Source organism: Homo sapiens, chromosome 2 (genome assembly GCF_000001405.40).
Source record: "Homo sapiens chromosome 2, GRCh38.p14 Primary Assembly".
In the NCBI taxonomy this organism is placed as follows: domain Eukaryota; kingdom Metazoa; phylum Chordata; class Mammalia; order Primates; family Hominidae; genus Homo; species Homo sapiens.
Window position 1 is genome coordinate 112,371,172 of NC_000002.12, and position 21,546 is coordinate 112,392,717.

General features: G+C 38.4%; 1 protein-coding gene across 6 annotated transcripts in view; it reads right to left on the reverse strand.

Annotated features, from left to right (window-relative positions):
- RGPD8 (RANBP2 like and GRIP domain containing 8) overlaps nucleotides 1–21,546 on the reverse strand; it is a 65,277-nt gene that overhangs the window by 2,803 nt on the left and 40,928 nt on the right. For 3 of the 6 annotated variants that reach the window (NM_001164463.1, XM_024453101.2, XM_047445676.1), the window contains 4 exons: nucleotides 19,804–19,898; nucleotides 16,853–19,076; nucleotides 9,653–9,792; nucleotides 6,882–7,083 (listed from right to left, as the gene is read on the reverse strand). In NM_001164463.1, the coding sequence (NP_001157935.1) occupies nucleotides 6,882–7,083; nucleotides 9,653–9,792; nucleotides 16,853–19,076; nucleotides 19,804–19,898 (2,661 nt within the window). Of the gene's footprint in view, nucleotides 1–6,881; nucleotides 7,084–9,652; nucleotides 9,793–11,151; nucleotides 13,493–13,861; nucleotides 15,963–16,852; nucleotides 19,077–19,803; nucleotides 19,899–21,546 lie in introns of those variants that run through there. The other 3 variants (XM_011511733.3, XM_005263747.6, XM_017004825.2) reach the window with 3 other exon arrangements.

Consider the following 21,546-nt stretch of genomic DNA (forward strand, 5'->3'; position numbering starts at 1 on the left):
TAAAAATCATGTTTATTGAGGTACAACTTACTTATAGTAAAACCTGCCCTTTTCAGCATATAGCACTGAGTCTTGACAAATGCACAGTTACGTACCACCACCGACCAAGGCCTGGCACATTTTCATCTCCTCAAAGTTCTCCCTGGCTGCTTCTCCCACTCCTTGGCAACCGCTAACCTGTTTTCTGTCCTTATAGTTCTGCTTTTTTCAGTGTCATATAAGTAGAATCACACTGTACATAGTATTTTGAGTCTGACCTCTGTCAACTGGCATAATGCATTTGAGAATTACCCATGTTGCTGAACTGGCAGTGCATTCTTTTTTATTGCTGAGCAGTATTCAATTGCACGGCTGTACCAGTTTGTTTATTCATTTGCCAGTTGAAGGATAACTGAGATCTTCCTCGTTTTTAGCAATTTTAAAGAAAGTTTCTACGAATAATTGTGTACAGGTTTTTAATTAAATGTTTTGGAGATATAATTCATATACCACATAATTCACCTTTTTAAAGTGCATAATTCACTGGTTTTTAATATATTCACAAGGTTTGTGCATAGGTTTTTGTGTGAATACTGGTTTTCATTCCTCTTGGATAAAGATTTAATTTGGTATTACCCTTCCAGACACCTTTCTGTGTTTTCATACGTATATATGTATGACAGTTTGACCTTAGGCAGAGTAGCATTTTCAAAATTTTACATGGGGAAACTTTCTAGAGTTACAAGTCATTTTATTTTTCTGTTCTGTCTGGTTTTATCTGCGTGTTATTTACAATCTGCTGCGTAACAAATTACTACAAACTTAGTACCTTAACACATATTTATTTCACAGTTTCTGTGGGTCAGGAGATCAGAAATGGTTCTATTTCAAGGTCTCTCACAGGGCTGCAATCAAGATGTTGGCATGGCTGGGGTCTCATCTGAAGGCTGGACTGGAGAAGAATCTACTTCCAAACTTATGTGGTAGTTGGAAGAATTTAGTTCCTCAAGGCTGCTAAACTGATGGCCTGTGTTCCTTGCCTCTGGGATGGTAGCTTGCTTCAACAAAGTGTGCAAGCAGAGAAGACAGAGAGAGGCCGCTAGCAAGATAGAAGCCACAATCTCTTGTAATCTATCATTCTTGCTGTATTCTACTGGTTAAACATAACTCATTAGGTTAGCCTACTGGCTCTCAAGGGGAAGAGATTATACAAAGGCATGCATTTCTGGAGGAGGGAATGAGGGCAAACAATTCTGAAAAGTCTGTCTTCCACAACCTGAAGAACTTCTAGAAAGTAGGAGGAAGCGATATTGCTTAGGGATGGACAACTTGGCACTGGTTATGTGTTCCAAGTGAGGTAACCTTGTTCCCAAGAATAAAGAGAACCAGACGACTGTAAACATTTCCCTAAACTGAAATGCAGACTGTTGTATGTTCACCTGAAATGAATGGTGTAAGCTGAATATAAGATTTTTGACAAAATAAAAATTTTGCTGTGTTCTCAGATCTGGCAGGCTCCTGCCCTTGTGCAAACAATGTTCCTGGCAGCTATTCATCTCCTTAGGTAAATAAGAATTGGAGAAAAGCTGTGCTTAGATAGGGTGCATTTGCTCTTGCCTTGGAAGGCTGTTTTCTGATAAGGTTCTATATCCTCTGCAAATCAAATCAGGCACTTACAGTGTGAGTATGCATTCTCTTCCTGCCAGTCTGGAGATGATCAAAAAGCCTATAACAGGCTTGGCCTATTTTCCTATTGGGTTGCTGGGCTTTTTTTCTTTATTTACTTGTAGAGAGTTTTAGACCTCTGTGTATGTATGGTGTACAAGTGACAATATTCAGATCTGTAAACTGTAACCCAGTCTGGGAGCAAAGAAGATATAGAAAAATGACTTTTACTTCCAGCTTTAGTAGTAAAATTGAGATTCAAATTTTGCATATAGAAGTACTATATGGCTAACTTATTTGGGGAGCAAAGCTGACTTACCATAAGTCTATCTCAAATAGAAATGAAACACTCAATTTGTGAAATATGCTGAGTTTTAATGCGTGTGGGGGCAGGGTGAATTAACATTTGTGATGCAAGGAGAAGAGCAATCTATACTTACCACTGTCTATTTGACATTGGGGACTACTGCTACACTCTAAGTCATTTTACCTTATAACGCAGAGTTGTAACACGCTACTCTGAGCAGCTCATGACATCTGCTTGAAATTTAAGTTGGGCCCCTAATATGTGTTTATTATAAAGATTTTGATGCTGCTTTTCAGAGTTGGGTAACCTACTTTACCCCCCTAAGCTAATGTTTCCCAAATACACCCAAACCCACAGAAAGGAAAACTATTCCTCATTAACTCACAGCCAACATCATAAACATTTTATATCTAGAGCTGATGATACAGTCAGGTATTTACCAACACTCATGTATATATGTAGAGTTTCAAGAAATAATTGCTTATCCTTACCAGATTCAACATATTCTAACGTTTCACATATTATTTTTATTTCTTAATATTTTTTTAAAGATGGGGTTTTACTCTGTTGCCCAGGCTGAAATGCAGTGGCGTGACCAGGATTTCGACCAGAAGTTTGACTGCAGCCTCGAACTCCTTCTAACAAACAATCCTGCTGCCTTAGCCTCCCGAGTAGCTAGGACTATGGGCACATGCCACCAGATCTGGCATATTTTAAAATTTTTGTAGACATAGGGTCTCGCCATGTTGCCCAGGCTGATTCTGAACTCCTGTTCTCAAGCAATCCTCCTGCCTGGTCTTCCCAAACTGTTGGGCTTACAGGTGTGAGTCATTGAGCCCAGCTTGTATTCTTTTGATTTAAAAAAAAAATATCCTGAATGTGATCCACCAAATTAATTTCACCATCCACTAATAGGTAGCAACCTGAATGAAAAATACTGTTATAAACTTTACACAAAACCAGAGATTATAAACATTTGCCTCCAAGGAGATGAGAGAGGCAAAAGGTACTTGTTTGCTCTGATGGGCCCTGTTTCCTTCAGTGCCAGGAAGAGTGGCTCTCAGACCTTTCTTCTGGCATCCCTCATGTATGCAGTGTTGGTTATTATTTTCAAGGCCTTGGTAACAAAATGCCCCTAGTGTGACCAGTCAGACTGACAGTCCATATCTGTAATATGGTGGTAAGTTTCCTTTGCATGTCTTTCTTTCTGGCATCTTAGACCTTTTACCTAGGAAATTTTCTTTTTGCTTGAAGTACATCATTAAGAATTTCCAGTGAAGGCAGATTCTTAAAGTTTTTGTTTTCCAGAAGAGATCTTGGAAAATATAAAAGGTTGGCAGTTATTTCTTTTAGTACATGAGATAGTATTACACCAATGCTGTTGAGAAGTCTATTGTGAGGCAATGTGTCTTCTTTCTCTGGCTGCTTTTGAGATTTCTCTCTGTCTTTTTTAGGGGCAGTTTTACTCTTATGTGACTAGAAGTAGATTTCTTCTTTTTTTTTTAATACTGCTTGAGATTTTACTGGGTTTTTGAATCTGTGGATAGATATCCTTCAACAGTTCTGAAAGATTTCCAGCCATTCTCTTCATATATTATCTGTGCTGTATTCTTGTCTCTCCTTTTAGAACTTCGATTAGTAAAAACATGTTTGATGTCTTTTCCCACTCTTGTTTTTTGTTTCTCCCATGCTGAATTCTGTGTAATTTCTTTTGAACCATCTTGTAGTTTACATTCTTTTTTTTTTTTTTTTTTTTGAGATAGGAGTTTTGCTCTTGTTGCTTGGGCTGGAGTGCAATGGCACCATCTCGGCTCACTGCAACCTCTGCCTCCTGGGTTCAAGCAGTTCTCCTACCTCAGCCTCCCAAGTTGCTGGGATTACAGGCATGCGCCACCATGCCCGGCTAATTTTTGTATTCTGAGTAGAGACGGGGTTTCACCATGTTGGCCAGGCTGGTCTCGAACTCCTGACCTCAGGTGATCTACCCTCCTCGGCCTGCCAAAGTGCTGGATTACAGGTGTGAGCCACCGCACCAGGCCTTACATTCTCTCTCTTAAAGAGAGAATGTAAGGTATCTAAATCTGCTGCTAAACCATCATTGTTTTTAATTGTAATAAGGTCTCTTTTATGTACTCACATTGATAAGAGACAAGTAGGAAATAATCTTTAAAGGGCAAACTAATGTAAATGTGTTTTCCTGTCTGTTTACAGGACTTAGCAAATGCACATCTTAGAGTTCTGGGTTTCTAATGTGTATCTCCTCTATGAAATTCTTTAAAAATATCTGTTATTGGTATCCCTTAGGTTAGTCTCTTTTAGAACTTCTAAATCAATGGACCCTTAACTTATAGGAGCCACCTGGACGTTAGCAACACCTACATTAAACATGCTGAGCTTTTAAAAGAGGCCTGTTAGACATGCTGAGTATTTTGAGATAGTATCATTGTTGTATTGAAAACTATTGAAAACTTTAATTTTAAAATGCAAACGTTCTTAAAGTCCTGGTTAATTTTATAACTATAAAATTAGTTATAATTTTGAGATTTCTGTCTTGTTTTTTATAAGGGCAGTTTTACTCTTAGGTGACTAGAAGTAGATTTCTTCTTTTTTATAACTATAAAATTAGGTTTACTTTTGTTAGAATAAATTAAAGACAGTGAATTTGTAATTTGAATAAGTATTAAAAATATACATGATGTATTCTTATTTGGGCCCTTGTGACAAAAATACTATTGTGGCTATAGAAACCTATCCTATAGTTTGAAGAACTGAGATTACTGTCAGTATTGAGAACATTCCTCCTTCATCATTAGAAAGATTATTAAAAACCAGATTCAAAGAAACTATCAATACTACTTATGAAGTATGTCTGTAAAAAAAATTAAGCCTGAATCTTATCAGGCCTCTAGACCGGGGGTTCTCAAGGTATGGGCCCCAGACCAGAAGTATCAGCAACAAATTGCTAAAAATGCAGAATCTTGGGTCAGAAATTGGGGACCAGCAATTGGAATTTTAGTAAGTATACCAGATGATTCAGATGCCTGCTCAATTTTGAGGATGACTCTTATCAGTTTAGTTATTAGGGTTTACAGGGGATGGGGAACATGTTAAAGAACACCAACTAGATAAGGTCAATCAGTCAAAAGTAAGTTGTCTGGACATTCTGGGCCTCCTCATGTCTTAGAAAGCACACAATACCATCTATGATGTATTTTTGTCCACCATCCCACCCAATTGCACCTGGATCTTCCTATTTATAGGCAATTGGAACAAGCTCAGTGTTACCCTGTAATGATTAAAACCCAAATATAGAACTGCTATAGCATAAATGACCACTTTCTTCAATTAATAAGTGGCACATTAAAAATATACTTATATATATAATTGTTATAGATAAAAAAACAACAAAATGACTGGGCGTGGTGGCTCACACCTGTAATCCCAGCACTTTGGGAGGCCAAGGCGGGCAGATCACAAGGTCAGGAGATTGAGACCATCCTGGCCAACATGGTGAAACCTCGTCTCTACTAAAAATAGAAAAATTAGCTGGCGTGCATCTGTAGTCCCAGCTACTTGGGAGGCTGAGGCAGGAGAATCACTTGAATCCGGGAGGCGGAGGTTGCAGTGAGCCATGATCGGACCACTGCACTCCAGCCAGGGTGACAGAGCAACACTACGTCTCAAACAAACAAAAACACAACAACAAAATAAAGCTTAAGGAATATCAACCAAATGCAATATATGAGCCCTATTTAGGATACTATAAAAAGACATTCACAATAACACAGGCAAAATGAACATAAACTAGGTATAGGTGACAGAGAAATCCAATAAACATTGAATTATTCACTGGGGAAAGAAATGATGTGTGGGATTTAAGTCTCTAACTCTCCCCTATTTACGCCAAAAGATTGTCCATGAGTTGAAAACTGTTAGAGATGGGTGACAACTCAAGAGAGATTATAGCGTCTTCCTTGTGCTTGTAAATGTCAAAAATAAAAGTAATTTAAAACTAAAACAAAAACGAAACCATAATTCTTAAGATGCAGCTTGAATTCAGTTAACTATAGCAGTTGTATATGAAGCATTTCAAAGAAGTTAATGACATCACAGTATTAAATCCATCTGACATGGAAACCAACTCTAACTACATCATAGTTTTTTTTTTTTTTTTTTTTGAGATGGAGTCTCGCTCTGCCGTCAGGCTGGAGTACAGTGGCGTGACACATCACTGCAACCTCCGCCTCGTGAGTTCAAGCGACTCTGCTGCCTCAGCCCCCTGAGTAGCTGGGACTACAGGCGCATGCCACCACGTCCAGCTAATTTTTGTATTTTTAGTAGAGACGAGATTTCACCATGTTGGCCAGGATGGTCTCGGTATCTTGATCTTGTGATCCGCCTGCCTCGGCCTCCCAAAGTGGTGGGATTATAGGCGTGAACCACCGGCGCCTGGCCTATGGCACAGTTTTAAAACTGCATTTGCCTAGAAAGTGGACTGCTGTATATAGACCAAGTGTTGGGCTCTATGGCTCCATTGTCTTAGGCTATTTGGGGTTGGAGGAAGGAAGAGGCGTGAAGTAGAAAAGGAACAAGCTAATAAATGCTTTTTAAAAAGTAGAATTTAAAACAAAACCACGTTCAGCTGAACACCAGAACTCAACACCAGGATAAAAATCCAATTTTCAAAGAGCTAGAAGATCAAGCTAAGCACTTATTGTATTTTGCTGAACGTTAAAATTATATAAATGTACTACAGTTGCCTCAAGATGTTAAAAAGTCAGCTTTTCAAATCTAGTCACGGCCTACTCATATGACAGACCCAATTCAAATGAGCAAAATTGAAAAGTTACACATACAGACAACTTCTCAACCACCAGGCTGTTTAGTTTAAGTTAGAAGTCAGAAGTTCTGAGACTCTCCTTTTACCCACCTTGAGCAACCGCAGCAAGTTTTCCCTTTTCTTCAGGGCTGAGCTGCAACATCGTATTTATAACAGGAAGAAGTCTCTCTCTTTCACTACCTGGCTTCAAGAAAATGAACTGCAGCAAGACGTTCTTCAAGTATTCCAGGTTAGCTGCAGACTTCTCTCGCTCTTGATTCCTTTCCAATCTTCTTATTTCACTTTTGAGAAGCTGGTGTTAGAGAAATGAGTTAAAAATGGGCTTTAGGAGCTTCTGATTAAATATGGCAGACTGAACTCATGTATTTTTCTTCTCTTCCCCCCAAATTTCCCCCTTCCCTCCATATGGCAATAAAGGAAGGAATTCAGTTAACTACAGCAGCTGCATGTGAAGCATTTCAAAGGAGTTTATGACATCACCGTATAAAATCCATTTGACATGAAAACCGGAACTCCAACTATGAGATAGTTTCAAAGCTGCATTTGCCTAGAAAGTGGATTGCTGCATATGAACCAAGTGTTGGGCTATAGGACTCCATTGTCCTAAGCTATTTGGGGTTGGAAGGAAGAGGGGCGAAGTAGAAAAGCAACAAGCTAATACAAGAGGAGAAAAAGTAGATGAGACACATCAAGAAATTCTCACGAGAAACAGATGAAGAGGTGGAAATGAGTCAGTCCAGCAGCTTACCAAGTATCACTGACAAGAGGAGAGGATGCATCCTGTGTAAATACTGGGGTTCTTGTCTCAGAAGCACAGGGTATCATGGAAATGGAGTTGAAAGCTGGGGAACTGATGGAACGTCTCCATGAGGAGCAACTAACTGGAGCCATGGGTTGGTACCAAGATGTTCCCTCTGCCTTCTACTTTCGATAGAAACTAAGCCAGTATGGCATGGGGCTCTGAAAATGGGCTGAGGGGAACATCGGCAGCCTCCACTAACCCCCTGCCCCTACCCTGTTCCTAAAGTCCCAGGCAGTTAAGACGTCCACAGTGAACGGCACTTAATCAAAACAAAAGTTAGACACAGTGAAAATTCAGGAATATAAGACAATGTAAAACACTATCAGAGAAATGAGGCAAAGAACAATATAAAAAAGGTAATATCATGTTCAAGTCTTTGAGGAAGATTTCCAGGTTGAAACCAAGCCATAGCTTTTAGTATATTTTCATTTTAGGTTAGGCAAGAAAGTTAGCGAACTTTGTCCTCAAACCTAGGACCATTTAAAAAAGTGACAATAAAGAAGACGAAGAAATCATGAAGAGAGTATAAATTTATGAAAATATAACATTTGGCCAGGCGTGGTGGCTCATGCCTGTAATCCCAACACTTTGGGAGGCTGAGGCAGGCAGATCACGAGGTCAGGAGATTCAGACTGTCCTGGCCAACATGGTGAAACTGTGTCTCTAGTAAAATAAAAAAAATTAGCCGGGCATGGTGGTGCATGCCTGCAGTCCCAGCTACTCGGGAGGCTGAGGCAGGGGAATCGCTTGAACCTGGGAGGCGGAGATTGCAGTGAGCTGAGATTGCACCACTGCACTCCAAACCTGGTGACAGAGCGAGACTATCTCAAAAAAAAAAAACAAGAAAATATAACATTTAAATAAGTCATTTAGGTTTACTGGGCTAGTTAGTGATTTGTTAGCTATGATAATGTTTTTATTAGTGGGAAAATGTTATTTTATAGAGATGCATACTGAAGTATTTAATGGTGGAATGTCATGATATATACAATTTACTGAAAATAACTGAATTCGGCTTTAAAATAATCTGACAAGGATAGCTAGTGGCCTTGCACAGTGGCAGGACAGATCTATTAGGAGCAGCAAAGTACAGGGGAAAAGCATGTACTTTTCAGACAGCTATGAGTTTGAATTTTGTTCCACCATTTACCAGCTTCAATTTTTCTCTCAACCAGTGATGAGATTAAATAATGTATGTAAAGCCCAGGGCCTGGGTCATAAGAACTCCTCAACAAGCAGTATGACTATATTCTGAGGGGTGATTTATCAGTGAGCCAGGGTGGAAAAACCTCATTTGAGTAATCCTCAACTGTTCTGCAACATTCCTAGATGTTTCTGGTGTCTACTTTAAACAGGAAAAACTTCCCATGCCACTTTGCCATCTCCACCTGAAAACTGTTTAGTAGTTCAGTACTATAAATATCAGTTGAATAATTTAAATTCACTGGTTATCTTTAGAATTCAAAGACTCACACCCATTTTTTATTTAAGCATATGTGAACAATGATTTGTGAACATCTCTCTAGTTTCTAAATCTATTACGGTTTCTTAGGAAAAGTAGGAATTAAGAAATAATCTTTATGTAATAGGTGTAAAAGAAGTATTTTGGCTGGATGCGGTGGCTCACACCTGTAATACCCGCACTTCGGGAGGCCAAGGCAGGTGGATCACGAGGTCAGGAGATCGAGACCATCCTGGCTAACATGGTAAACCCTGTCTCTACTAAAAATACAAAGAAATTAGCCAGGCATGTTGGCGGGCACCTGTAGTCCCAGCTACTCGGGAGGCTGAGGCAGGAGAATGGCGTGAACCTGGGAGGTGGAGCTTGCAGTGAGCTAAGATCGTGCCACTGCACTCCAGCCTGGGTGACAGAGCAAGACTGTCTCAAAAAAAAAAAAAAAAAAAAAGGCAATATTTCTCACCATCAGGAATCTAATATAAAGATCAAGACGTTATAGATGCATCTGCAATGTGAATTTTTAAACTTGGGTGCATGTGTATGGAAGGTCCAGAAAACCAAACTGGCGGTTTTCACGGTGGCCAGGTTTTCTGATCTCACCTTAATTTGCTCCATAAGGACTGCATTGGTTGCCTCTATTTCCCGAAGCAGGCCGTTTAAGTGATCTGCACTTTTTGTGGTGGAACGGAGCTTCTGAACCAATTCTTCTTTGGTAAATTCAGCATGCCATAATGGAGGCTCTGCAAGATGTTGTTCCAAGAATTAATTTTCAAAATCATACATTACAGATGAAGATTCTAAATAAGAAAAATCTAAATATAAATATCTTACTATGTGATATTTTATAGGTCTGCTTTCTTTGCCATTCATCTATTCAGCATACCTCAATCAACAGATTATATGTTGTAGGTGACACAAATAAAACAGTATCTCTGTTGTAAAGCATGTAATCTAACTGAATAAAGCCCTATGAATCCCAGTTCTGAAATTTGTCAGAATTGTGTTTATAGACAGTTTTATTACACATCTTCTTCCCATCTATTAATATTCCAAGATTTTATGTCATTTCACGTATAAGGAAAGCATTAACATTTACTGGTCACGTATCATGTTCCCTCATAAGAATCTTCTATCAGGCGGGGTAGGTATCATTATTCAAAGTTTACAGATGATGAAACAGGCTCACAGTTGACAGGTAATTTTTTCAGAAATCACAAAGTCAAATTGGCTTCTGGAGTCTGCTGCTCTATCATGATGCCTCCGTGTCACCACTATTAACTTTGCCTGAAGGAACCATGACTTGCAGTTTCTACCCCACGTGGTCAGTGACCATGAATACAAATGACCCTTACTCCAGGTGATTCTGAAGTTTCAGGAAGATGACAGATTCCCCCTAAATTTTGAACAGTAATATTAATTACAAGTAATAAAATATACCAAAACATCACTACAAAAATTTAGCATTACTTCATCAAGAGGAATAAACTGAAACTGTCAGTTTCTTGGAAGGGTGAGAGGATAGTTTATCCTGCTTTCTAATACCCACCACCTATTTGTGACTATAAACTTCCCACCACTTATTTATGGTTCAAGCCTAGGGCAAGAGCTAGCATTTTATTTTAAAAAAGATTTGTTTAATAATTTTTCCATTTGGACAGTGTGATGGTTAATACTGGGTGTCAACTTGATTGGATTAAAGGATGCAAAGTATTAATCCTGAGTGTTGTCTGTGAGGGTGTTGCCAAAGGGATTAACATTTGAGTCAGTGGGCTGGGGAAGGCAGACCCACCCTTAATCTGGTAGGTGCCATCTAATCAGCTGCCAGCGAATATAAAGCAGGCAGAAAAACCTGAAAAGGCGAGACTGGCCTAGCCTCCCAAGCTACATCTTTCTCCTGTGCTGGATGCTTCCTGCCCTTGAACATCAGACTCCTAGTTCTTCAGTTTTGGAACTTGGACTGGCTCTCGTTGCTCCTCAGTCTGCAGATGGCCTAGTGATCGTGTAAGGTAATACTTAATAAGCATCCATCCATCCATCCCATCCATCCATCCAACCATCCAATTAGTTCTGTCCCTCTAGAGAACCCTAATACAAACAGGTAGTGGAATATTGAAAGAAATTTTATTGGAGCAGCCCAAAAAAGCATATGTACCTTAGAGTAATAGTAATTAAATAAGACAGTGAAATTAAAGAAGAAGAACATATTTAGACAGAGTAACAGACCAAGTTTAGTTTCGGGAGAATTAAGCAGCTGCTCTAAAGACTGTGTGTATGTGCTGGCGGAAGACACAGACTCCGTATCAGTTGTCTCCATGCCTTCTCCCTCTTCCCGGGTTACAGTGTGCATGTCTAGAAGCGGGAGGTCTGTGTTTCTCCTTTCTCGAAGGTTCTTCAAAGATTGTTGAGAGGAAACTGGGCCTATTAGATTTTTTTTAAAGGTTAAGTGTGAGATTGTTCAAAATCTATTGATTCGGCCTTACAGAGGTACACAATAAAATGAAAATATCAAATGATAAGAGTAGAGGAATTAAGTAACTATAAGTGAAAGGTGTATGAAGAATTGCTAAAACATTTCTTAAAATTTAGTCATCAAGGCCGGGCGTGGTGGCTCAAATCTGTAATCCTAGCAGTTTGGGAGGCTAAGGTGGGTGGATCACGAGGTCAGCAAGTTCAAGACCAGCCTGGCCAAGATGGTGAAACCCTATCTCTACTAAAAATACAAAAATTAGCCAGGCACAGTGGCAGGTGCCTGTAATCCCAGCTGCTGGGGAGGCTGAGGCAGAGAATTGCTGGAAACCAGGAGGCGGAGGTTGCAGTGAGCCAAGATCACGCCACCGCACTCCAGCCTGGCGACAGAGCGAGACGCCAGCTCAAAAAAAAAAAACAACAAAAAAAAACTTACTCATCAAACTTTTAACTACGTTAGTCATTTTAATAGCAGCTATAAATTAATTGCTACTAGCTAAGATAAACTGTTAGATAACACAGCTCATAATATAGTACTACTTATTTTTTATTAATTTAGAGTAGAGGGCCAAACTACTGCTAAATACTGGCCAAAATTAAAAGACTAGATTCTAGAAATTTTTCAGGATTAGGTATTTCAGATTGCTGCATACTTCTTGAAACACACTTGCTGAAATCTGCTTGGTAGACATCCTCAATCACTGCCCTTATACCTTTACCTCTGCAGCTTCTTAATTGTTGCTGCTCACACCTACAGTGCTCATACAGTTAAGAGCCCAGAATCCAGGGCACGGAACTAATCAATTACATTGCCTAGCAAGACTTTCCTGTTTGCTGATAAACTGTAAAGTGTTATTTTTTCTGAGACAGGGTCTCACTCTGTCACACAGGTTGGAGTGCAGTGGCACGATCTTGGCTCACAGCAACCTCTGCCTCCCAGGCTCAGGCCATCCTCCCACCTCAGCCCCACAAGTAGCTGGGACTTCCAGGTGCATGCCATCCCGCCCAGATAATTTTTGTACTTTTAATAGAGATGGGATTTCACCATGTTGTTCAGACTGGTCTCAAACTCCTGGCCTCATGTGATCCAACTGCTTTGGCTCCCAAAGTGCTCAGATTGCAGGGGTGAGACACCACGCCTGGTCTAAACTGTAAAGTTTACCAGGCCCTTTGACATGTATTGGTTTATTGACTCCCAAAAATCTGAAGTTCAGAGAAATTTAATGACTTTGCCCAAGGTCTCATAACTGAGTTAGAAACCAGAATTGTAATCTAGATTTTTATTTAAACTTCAGATTTCATTTATTTTGCATTTCATTAAATTGCCTTAGTCCTGACTGCCCTTTCTGAAGCATTTTCCTGGGTTTCTGGTAAGCTGACTGCTTATTCCACTGCTGATTGCTAGATTACAATCTCTTGTGCGACCTTTGCCCTGGCTGATTACTTCCTTTGTTGATTCTTTGGCATATATTAAATTCTTCTGAAGTTGCTTTTTTACCCTAATAAGTGACCGATAGCTGCTAATGCTCCAGTGACAATATTTCCCATGGGAAACCAAAACACCATCAACTTGCTACTAAAATACTGCATCATCATGGCTGACATTTTTCCATTTCTTCCTGGAAGCAGAATGGAAGATACTGGGTACGGCTGAACTAAAACTCCAACTAATTGTAAATGTGAAAGCAAAGAAGCTATATTGGTTATGCAATTCTACACATTCAGTGCCGCTTGAGTGTTTCTAAGTTCCTTGCTCTAGCTAATGTTTCTATTTAAAAAGTAGACAAATTTGATGACTAACAACGGAGAACACGAAACAAATCTGGTGAATACCAGAATTAAGACATGTGTCAGCCAGGCGCAGTGGCTCATGCCTGTAATCCCAGCACTTTGGGAGGCCGAGGCGGGTGGATCACGAGGTCAGGAGACCGAGACTATCTGAGGGAGAATCTTCAGGTTTTTTCTTCTCTTTTGCTGTAACACCAGTCAAAAAAATTGACAAAGATAAGGTATTAAGTATTGACGTTAATACTCTACCTGAAAATAAAAACCATGGAACCTATCTATAGGTTAAAACAGCATACTGATAAAAAACACATATACTTTGATGCAGAGATGTACGATAATCATGAATTAGAATTAGCATCCTGATTTAGTGTTCTACCAAAAACCCTAAGTGAACACAGAATCTATTTAAAACCAAAGAAAACAAAAAAAATCTTGTGTTTACTTAATAGTCATTGAAAAGAATTACTACAAAATTTCTAGAATTTAAAAAGGTTAAAAATTTTAAAGTGTTGCCTAACTATACTTAGCATACAATAGTTTACCAAAATATCCACGCATTTGCAGCAATTGAAAAAAATCTTAAAACATAAGCAAGTATTAGTATACATATGAAACTAATCCAAAGCCAACTGTGATTAGTTCCTGTAAGGAAAGTTAACAATTGCCAAGAATGGAAGGTGACTAGAGTTGCATCTAGTTTGCCTGTGTTCAAGCATGATACTAGATAAAATTAAATAAAAACTGTGACTCTATGGGTAGCTAACACTATAAAATCTAAGACCATTCATATGGCTGAAAACAACCCATCCCCAGCCACCATCAATGCAAAGGGCAAAAAATTAGAAACAGAAAAAACTTCTATATGCAACCTGTTCTGATCTATTAATGTAAAGAAGAACTTCTGGCTAAAGGAGTTTAATAAAGTAAGCCAGTTATGAAGCATGCCATGTATACCAACTGGTGACAGGGAAACATTCTGAGAGCTATGGTGTCCAATATGGTAGCCTAGCCACATTCTATTAAAACCTCACAAGGTGGCTAGTCCAAATCAAGACATGCTAACAGTAAGTGTAAACACACACACTGGATTTTGAAGACTTGGTGAAAAACAATAATGTAAAATATCGTTAATTTTTATATTAATTAGAAGTTAAAATGATATTTTGGACATAATGAGTTAAATCAAATCTATCAATAAAGTTACTTTCATCTGTTTCCCTTTTTAACTGTTTCTTTTTATTCTTTTTAATATGGCTACTAGAAAATTTATTTATTTATGTATTTATTTGAGATGCGGTCTTCCTTTGTCACCTTTGTCACCCAGAGCTGGAGTGCAGTGATGTGATCATAGTTCACTGAAGCCTGGAACTTGTGGGCTCAAGTGATCCCTCTGCCTCAGCCTCCCAAGTAACTGGGATTATAGGCACAAGCCATTGCACCAAATGACAATTTTAAATTACATACACAGGTTATATTTTATTTCTATTGGATGACACTGCTCTGCAGAACCAGTGCCCTTCCTTTTACAATGTTAAATCTGTCCCTCTCCTTCATTATAAACAAAAACTTAGTATCATTTCCTAGCTAGGAGAAATAACAGTACACCATAAGATACAGATTCTTGTTCCACTTCTGCTATTACTCAGTAAAGACCCCTTGGGTAAATCAGATAGCCTCTCTTGGCCTCAGTTTACTCATGTCTAAAGTCTTCATTTCTAAGGTCCCTTGGGACAATGACATTATCAGATTCAAAACAGAATAAGGCTCTATGTTCTACAGTAGTGTATAGGCACATTCGTTCTTAGCTCAGGGATTCTTAACCTAGAGCTCACAGAAACTGTACGCAAGTATACATCCACTTTTAAGTTAACACTTTTCACATTTCTCAAAGACCGTATCTTTAAAATAAAAGATTAAGAGCTACCTTAGCTGGTAATAAAACTGGTATACTTAAAAAAAAATCAGAGATTGTTACTTTATCATTGTACTTGTTTGGCATGGCTAAGATGTGTTACTGGTCACTAAGGGTGAGATTTCACTTCCCTAACCTGTTCTTGAAGGCCTTCAACAGATCCCACTTCTTGTTCCACTCTAGTAGCCACACTTCTAAAAATGATCTGTGCAACATATATAATATGCAAGCTGTAGAATGCTGGCTGTTAAAAATGGGGTCCATTTTCAAATACAACATTTTTCTAAACCATGCACAAAAGAACAGCCCTACAGGGACACTCTTCCATACTGTATACATGCCGTTGCCACTACATGTGAATACTGGCAGACGTTAGTGGCTAAAGATAAACATTAGATAAAACATAGGTCTTCATTGAGCAGACCTGAAATAGCAGAGCAATGAAGTACATTACAAATCAGCATCCCACTACATTTTAAAAAACAAACCAACAAGGGTGTCATGCCACCAGTCAAAAGGTACTTTGCTTAAACTGGCATTCTTTAACATGCATGTTGTAGTGGTAAGTACTTCATTTCATACAGCCACAGTAATTAATACTTTGCTAAGGGCTACCCAGCTGCTAAAAACTGCTGTTATCTCATACTGAGAATGCTAGTTCTATACCTTTGCTCTCAGGCTGTGAGGAAGGGGTGCTAGTCCAAAAGGCCATGGGATTAGATTTAAAAAGGCTAAAATTAAATCCTAGAAAATAAAGAATATTTCATTTTTTAACATTTTAGGAAACAAAATGAATATGCTTTTAAAACATAAAAAGCCAGAATCCCTCAATTTATACCACCAATCTGACTGTCTTACATATTCATTTATCCCTGTAGTTTCATTCTTTGCTCATTTAATACATGAGCAAGACTGACATACAACACATAAAATGAGAACATCTCAATATCATGTTTTTTTTTGTTTTTTGTTTTTTGTTTTTTTTGGAGACAAAGTCTCACTCAGTCACTCAGTCAGGCTGGAGTAAGTGGCATGATTTCAGCTCACTGCTACCTCCATCTCCTGTGCTCAAGCGATCCTCCTGCCTCAACCTCCTGAGTAGCTGCTAATTATAGGCACGCACCACCATGCCCGGCTCATTTTTGTATTTTCAGTAGAAACAGGGTTTCACCATGTTGGCCAGGCTGGTCTCGAACTCCTGAGCTCAAGTGATCTGCCCACCTCAACCTCCCAAAGTGCTGGCATTCTAGGAGTGAGCCACCGTGCCCAGCCTCAATATCATGTTTTCTGAGTGACAAAAGAAACAGAACAAATGAAAATGAACACTTTAAAAAAAGACTCACGTTAATGCGCATGATTCAAGCATGACTCCGTACACTGTACCAAGTTCTTTTGCTCTGCCCTAGCATGATAGAAGTATCTTCCAGTTACTGAAATGTCTTTAACTAAGTTCTCTTGCTCTTTGAAACCTCACCGAGAACTTATTAAGGGAGAAAAAAAATTGCTCAAATATTTTGGGGGTGTTCACAAAGCATCGTTTATATCCCAACATTAGTATCCCACAAAGAGTCTGCATCAAGCTAAACATTAAAAGAAAGAAAAATTGTGCTTAACTTTAACAACAAAGTACCTACCCTTTTCTGGTGTTTTAAATGTGTAGTTGATTGAAGATTCTTCCGTTGGAAAGGAAGCAGAGAGATTTTTGACTTTGCTATCTGAAGACTGTTCGATATCAGAGTTCTTTGACAGTTCACATTTTTTAGGTTCCACTTTGCTTTCAGATCCACTCTGGGCTACTGAACTAGTTTCACTATTGTTACTTTTCAAAGGTGCATTAAAACTAAATCCAAACAAAGACCCAGTGGCAGAACTGTTGCCAAATGCAAATGGTTTTGATTTTTCACTACTAAAAATTCTTTTAACAGACTCTGAAACAAATACAAACTTTGGAGGAGAAACCACTGCTTTTGTTGTTGTTTCAGATGTGCTAGACACTTCAACTTCTGAAGCTGCATCTGCTACATCATCACCCTGAATAACATCTGTCCTCTCTCTTGTGATTTCTTCTAATACAGCTACAGCAATTTTGCCACATGGTGACTCTCTGGGAGTGCTTGACCGAGAAACATGAGGTGTTATCAAAGAATCTTTTTCCTGGGCTGTTTTTGCTTCATCAAAAATTTTCTTAAACGAGTCTGCAACATCCTGTAGTTTAAAACGAACAGCTAAATGCTCTACTTTTCTTTCTCCATCTGCAAAATCACATGCAGTCCACACCCATACTCTTTCTGTCCCTTTCATATTTTGCAAACTCATGTCTGGAGTTATTCTGTGATTGGCACAAAGTTTTAATACTTGGTCCCTTCTCATCACTATACGAACTTGCTTATTATCATAATTCTGTAAAATCTTTATATCACCAATGCCCCTTTCTTTCCATTGACCAACATCTTTATCATATCTGTAGATTTCTGCCCTGTGACTAAAAACAACTTGTTCATTTTCCTCACCACTGGATACTTCAACTAGATCAGGTAAAGGAACAACAGGTTCAAAGTACTGTCCATCTCTCTCTTCTTCTTGAGTAACAACAGATTCTTCATCAGTGCCAACTGAAGTCCCACTCTGATTCAACTTGGCAGGAGACTTAGATAGACTCAAAGCAGATTTAAAACTGAAGTTAGATCCTGTTGTTGACTCATCAAAGCGGAAAAGATTTTTTCTCACAGGGCTACTTGCCAATGGAGAAGCATGTACTGAGCTACTACTGACACTATCATCCAAAGCATCTTCCCTTAAGTCATAGTTATCCCATTCTAATGTGGGCCCAGTGTTTTCAGCATTGGGTTTTATTGTTGTGTCTGAGGCACCGGCCACACCTGTACCTGAACCCTTATTTTCTTCCTCAGTGACTTTTGTTTGATCATTTGTCAAAAATGTTTTGAAATCTTTCAGTCCACTCTTCATTTCTTCAGCTCTCTGTATTAACTTGGCAGCTCTGCCAGTATCTACAAGTTTATGGGGAGTTTGAAGTGGTATGTCTAACAGAAGCCGCTGGCATTCCTCAAATTTCTGCTTGAATTCTTCAGCCAGCTCTGGTGTTTTAAATTTTGCTGCCAACCGCTCTAGTTTGGCATCACCATCAGAGAAATCACTGGCTGACCACATCCATGCTCTATCTGATCCAGAGAGGGGCTTCAGGTTCATTGTAGTCGTTATCCAATGATTAGCACACACTTTTAGTACTTGTTCTCTTCGCATCAGCATTCTTAGTTTGCCATTGACCTCGTTTTTGAGAATTTTTAAGTTCCCCAAGCCCCTTTCTTTCCACTGCCTTACCTCAGCATCAAATCTAAATAGTTTTACCCCCTGTGAATACAGAACTTTTTCACCTTCTTCTCCTGTTACAAGTTCTACTTTTTCAGGCATTTGAACTACTGGTTCAAAATGGATGTCATCGCTGTCCTCAGTCTTATAGGCATCATCATCTTTCTCAAAGTCACCGGAAGTGTTTGCTTTATTGGCCATTTTACCGTATCGTGATGAGAATAATTTTTCTCCAGCACCTGAAAATCCCTTGAAATTGAGGTCTTTTTTGCCAAACTGAAATCCTTCTCCTGAAGTTGATTTTGCAACATCTGCAAATGTAAAAGTGCTACTTGTTTGGCCAAAAATCACACCACGGCCCTTCTTCCGGCCCCTAATATCCTGAGCCTGTAAGCCAGTATCATTTTCAAGAGGCTTTTCCCTTTTCTTTTCTTGATTTCCTGGTTCCGAAATGCCAAATTTAAATCCATCAGCAGACACAGGGATGGAAAATCCTTCTTTGGTTGACTTAAATTCTGTATTAGAAGAACCCTGAAACATAAATGAAGGTGAATTTTCTTGATCCACATGCCCAAAATAGTCATGAAATAAATACCTTCTTCATTCCTAAACAATTTATCAAATGATGTTAACAATAATGATGATGATGATGATGATAACATTTATTGAGCATTCATTAATGTGCCAGCTGGGCACTGTTCTAAGCACTTTACATTATTATCTCATTTTAATATCCTCAAAAACCCTATGAATTAAGGTATTATTATTATCCTCATTTTACATATAAGGCAACTGATGCACTGAGAGGTTAAGAAACTTGCCTGTGGTCAAAATAAGCAGAAGAGCAAGGGTCTAAATGCACCCCAACACTCTGTCCTCAAAGCTGTCACATTCAACTACCACTGTAATATTGAGTCTTCAATCAATTGTTATATATATAGCTGTATCAGGCCTGAAAGTACTTACCACATAGTGGGTCAGCAAGGGCATTACAGTTCTATTTCTGTTAAAACAGAACGATGAAGGATCCACCACCACCACTCCCATTTTTAAAATATTCTAAATATTCACACTTATTAACACAAAAATAAGGTGACTGAGAAGGATAATTTCTGTATTTGGAGATAAATTTAAAATATCTACATTTTAAGGGACATAAAAGTTTTAATAGTGAACTGCTCTCTTGAATTTATTTGAAGGAACCCTAAACAATTTAAAAAGAAAATAATTATAAATGTATAAATTATTCCTTTGTTACCTTTGTGGGAGTAACATTAGCTGCTGGTCTGAGAAGATACTGGGAATTATATGCTGGTGACTGACTATAATATACTGAAGGGCCAGTAGTTGCAACTGAAAAAAAAAAAAGAAAAGAAAGAAAACACTGTTAAAGTCTATACTACAGTTAAGACTATCTAGGCAAGAGCTATAAATACAAAAGCAATAGAAATTAAAGAAAGATTTAACTACATAAATTTTAAATTTCTGTACATCAAAATACACCAATCAAGATTATCAAATGACAAACTAGAAAAAAATTGCTAAATATGACATGAAGAATGAGAGAATAGCATCGCTGTGATCAACAAGAACTACCTCGCAAGCATTAAAAAAGGAATAAAGAAGATAGTAACTGTTGCCTTTTCTAAGAAAGATCAGTATGATGTGGAATTATGGACATTCAGTCACAGAAAGGACGTAAGGAACCAAGATGCCATCTGATAGTCAATGCATTTGAAGTGGGCCTAGAAAATCTGCAGAAAGACTAGGTTGTATTTTGTAAACTAAAGCTATTACTGAGAATGTTCAGCTCAAAAATCACCTGACAAATTCATGGAAAGGATGTCATAAATAACATAAAATGTGTTCCCTGGCTTAAAATAAAAAGCACATCAACACTCATACAGATGTACAAACTGTCTGCTCCCTCTGTTTGGTCTGTTTTGCCAGGAAACAAAATGACTAGAAGGCACCCATGTTAATGACAAAACTACCAATAGTCATTTGCTTGAACTGTTTTATGATAGTTTTACCAGAAAACAACCAAAAGACCTTTTATGCCTGTACATGGAAGAAGAAACAGAAACTGTGCCAAGAGGTTCCAAACAATTGCCTCTGGAAAGCACTGAAAAATCAAGACCTAGAAAAGGCTAGCCAGAAGCCCAAGTTTGATTTCGGAAACCTTACAGAGGTGAGGATAGCTATTTTGAAATTACTATGGGGAGGAAGCAGGCACAGAACACAGAACAACCTGACAGAAATGGCCCAAGAATCTTAAAGTCTTGCAAGATGTCTGTCTGCATGAAAGCAAAAAGAAAAAATAAAATATTAAATAAAAAAAAATCTTAGTCTGAAGTTTAAGTAGGGACTTTAATTGACTACTGACTCTAAACTGTGCGGCTCTAATAAATCTACTAAAAGTAATCTAATTTTTTAAAGCACCATATGAATAGACAATTTAGGAAAGAAATGTTAATAGGCCTCAAGGAACATGTTTTTGAAGTGAGCCTTGAAAATCTGCAAAATGACGAGGTTGCATTGTGCAAATTGAAGCTATTATGAGAATGTTCAGGTCAAAAAAATTACCTGACAAATTCACGCACAGGATCTCACAAGGAACACAAATGTGTTCGTTGGCTTTAAAAAAATCACATTAACATTCATGTTGATATACAAAAACTCTTCTCCATCTGTTTTGTGTGAGTTTTACCAAGAAACCAAACAACTGGAAGGTACGTTGAAGATGGCAAAACTACCAACTGCCATTTGCATGAATTGTTGAGCATGACTAGTATTAAAAAAACTTAAAAATTGATATCACTTTTGTTCCTACAAATTGGCAAAGGATTTTATAAACTAGTAAGTCAGCATTAGCAAAAGTGCGAAAATGGCACTATCAGATACTAGCGGTAAGAGCATAAACTGAATATTTTGAATACCCTACAAAACTAGGACAGTGTCCTAGAATTTGTAATGGCATAAACCAGAAACAACATAAATA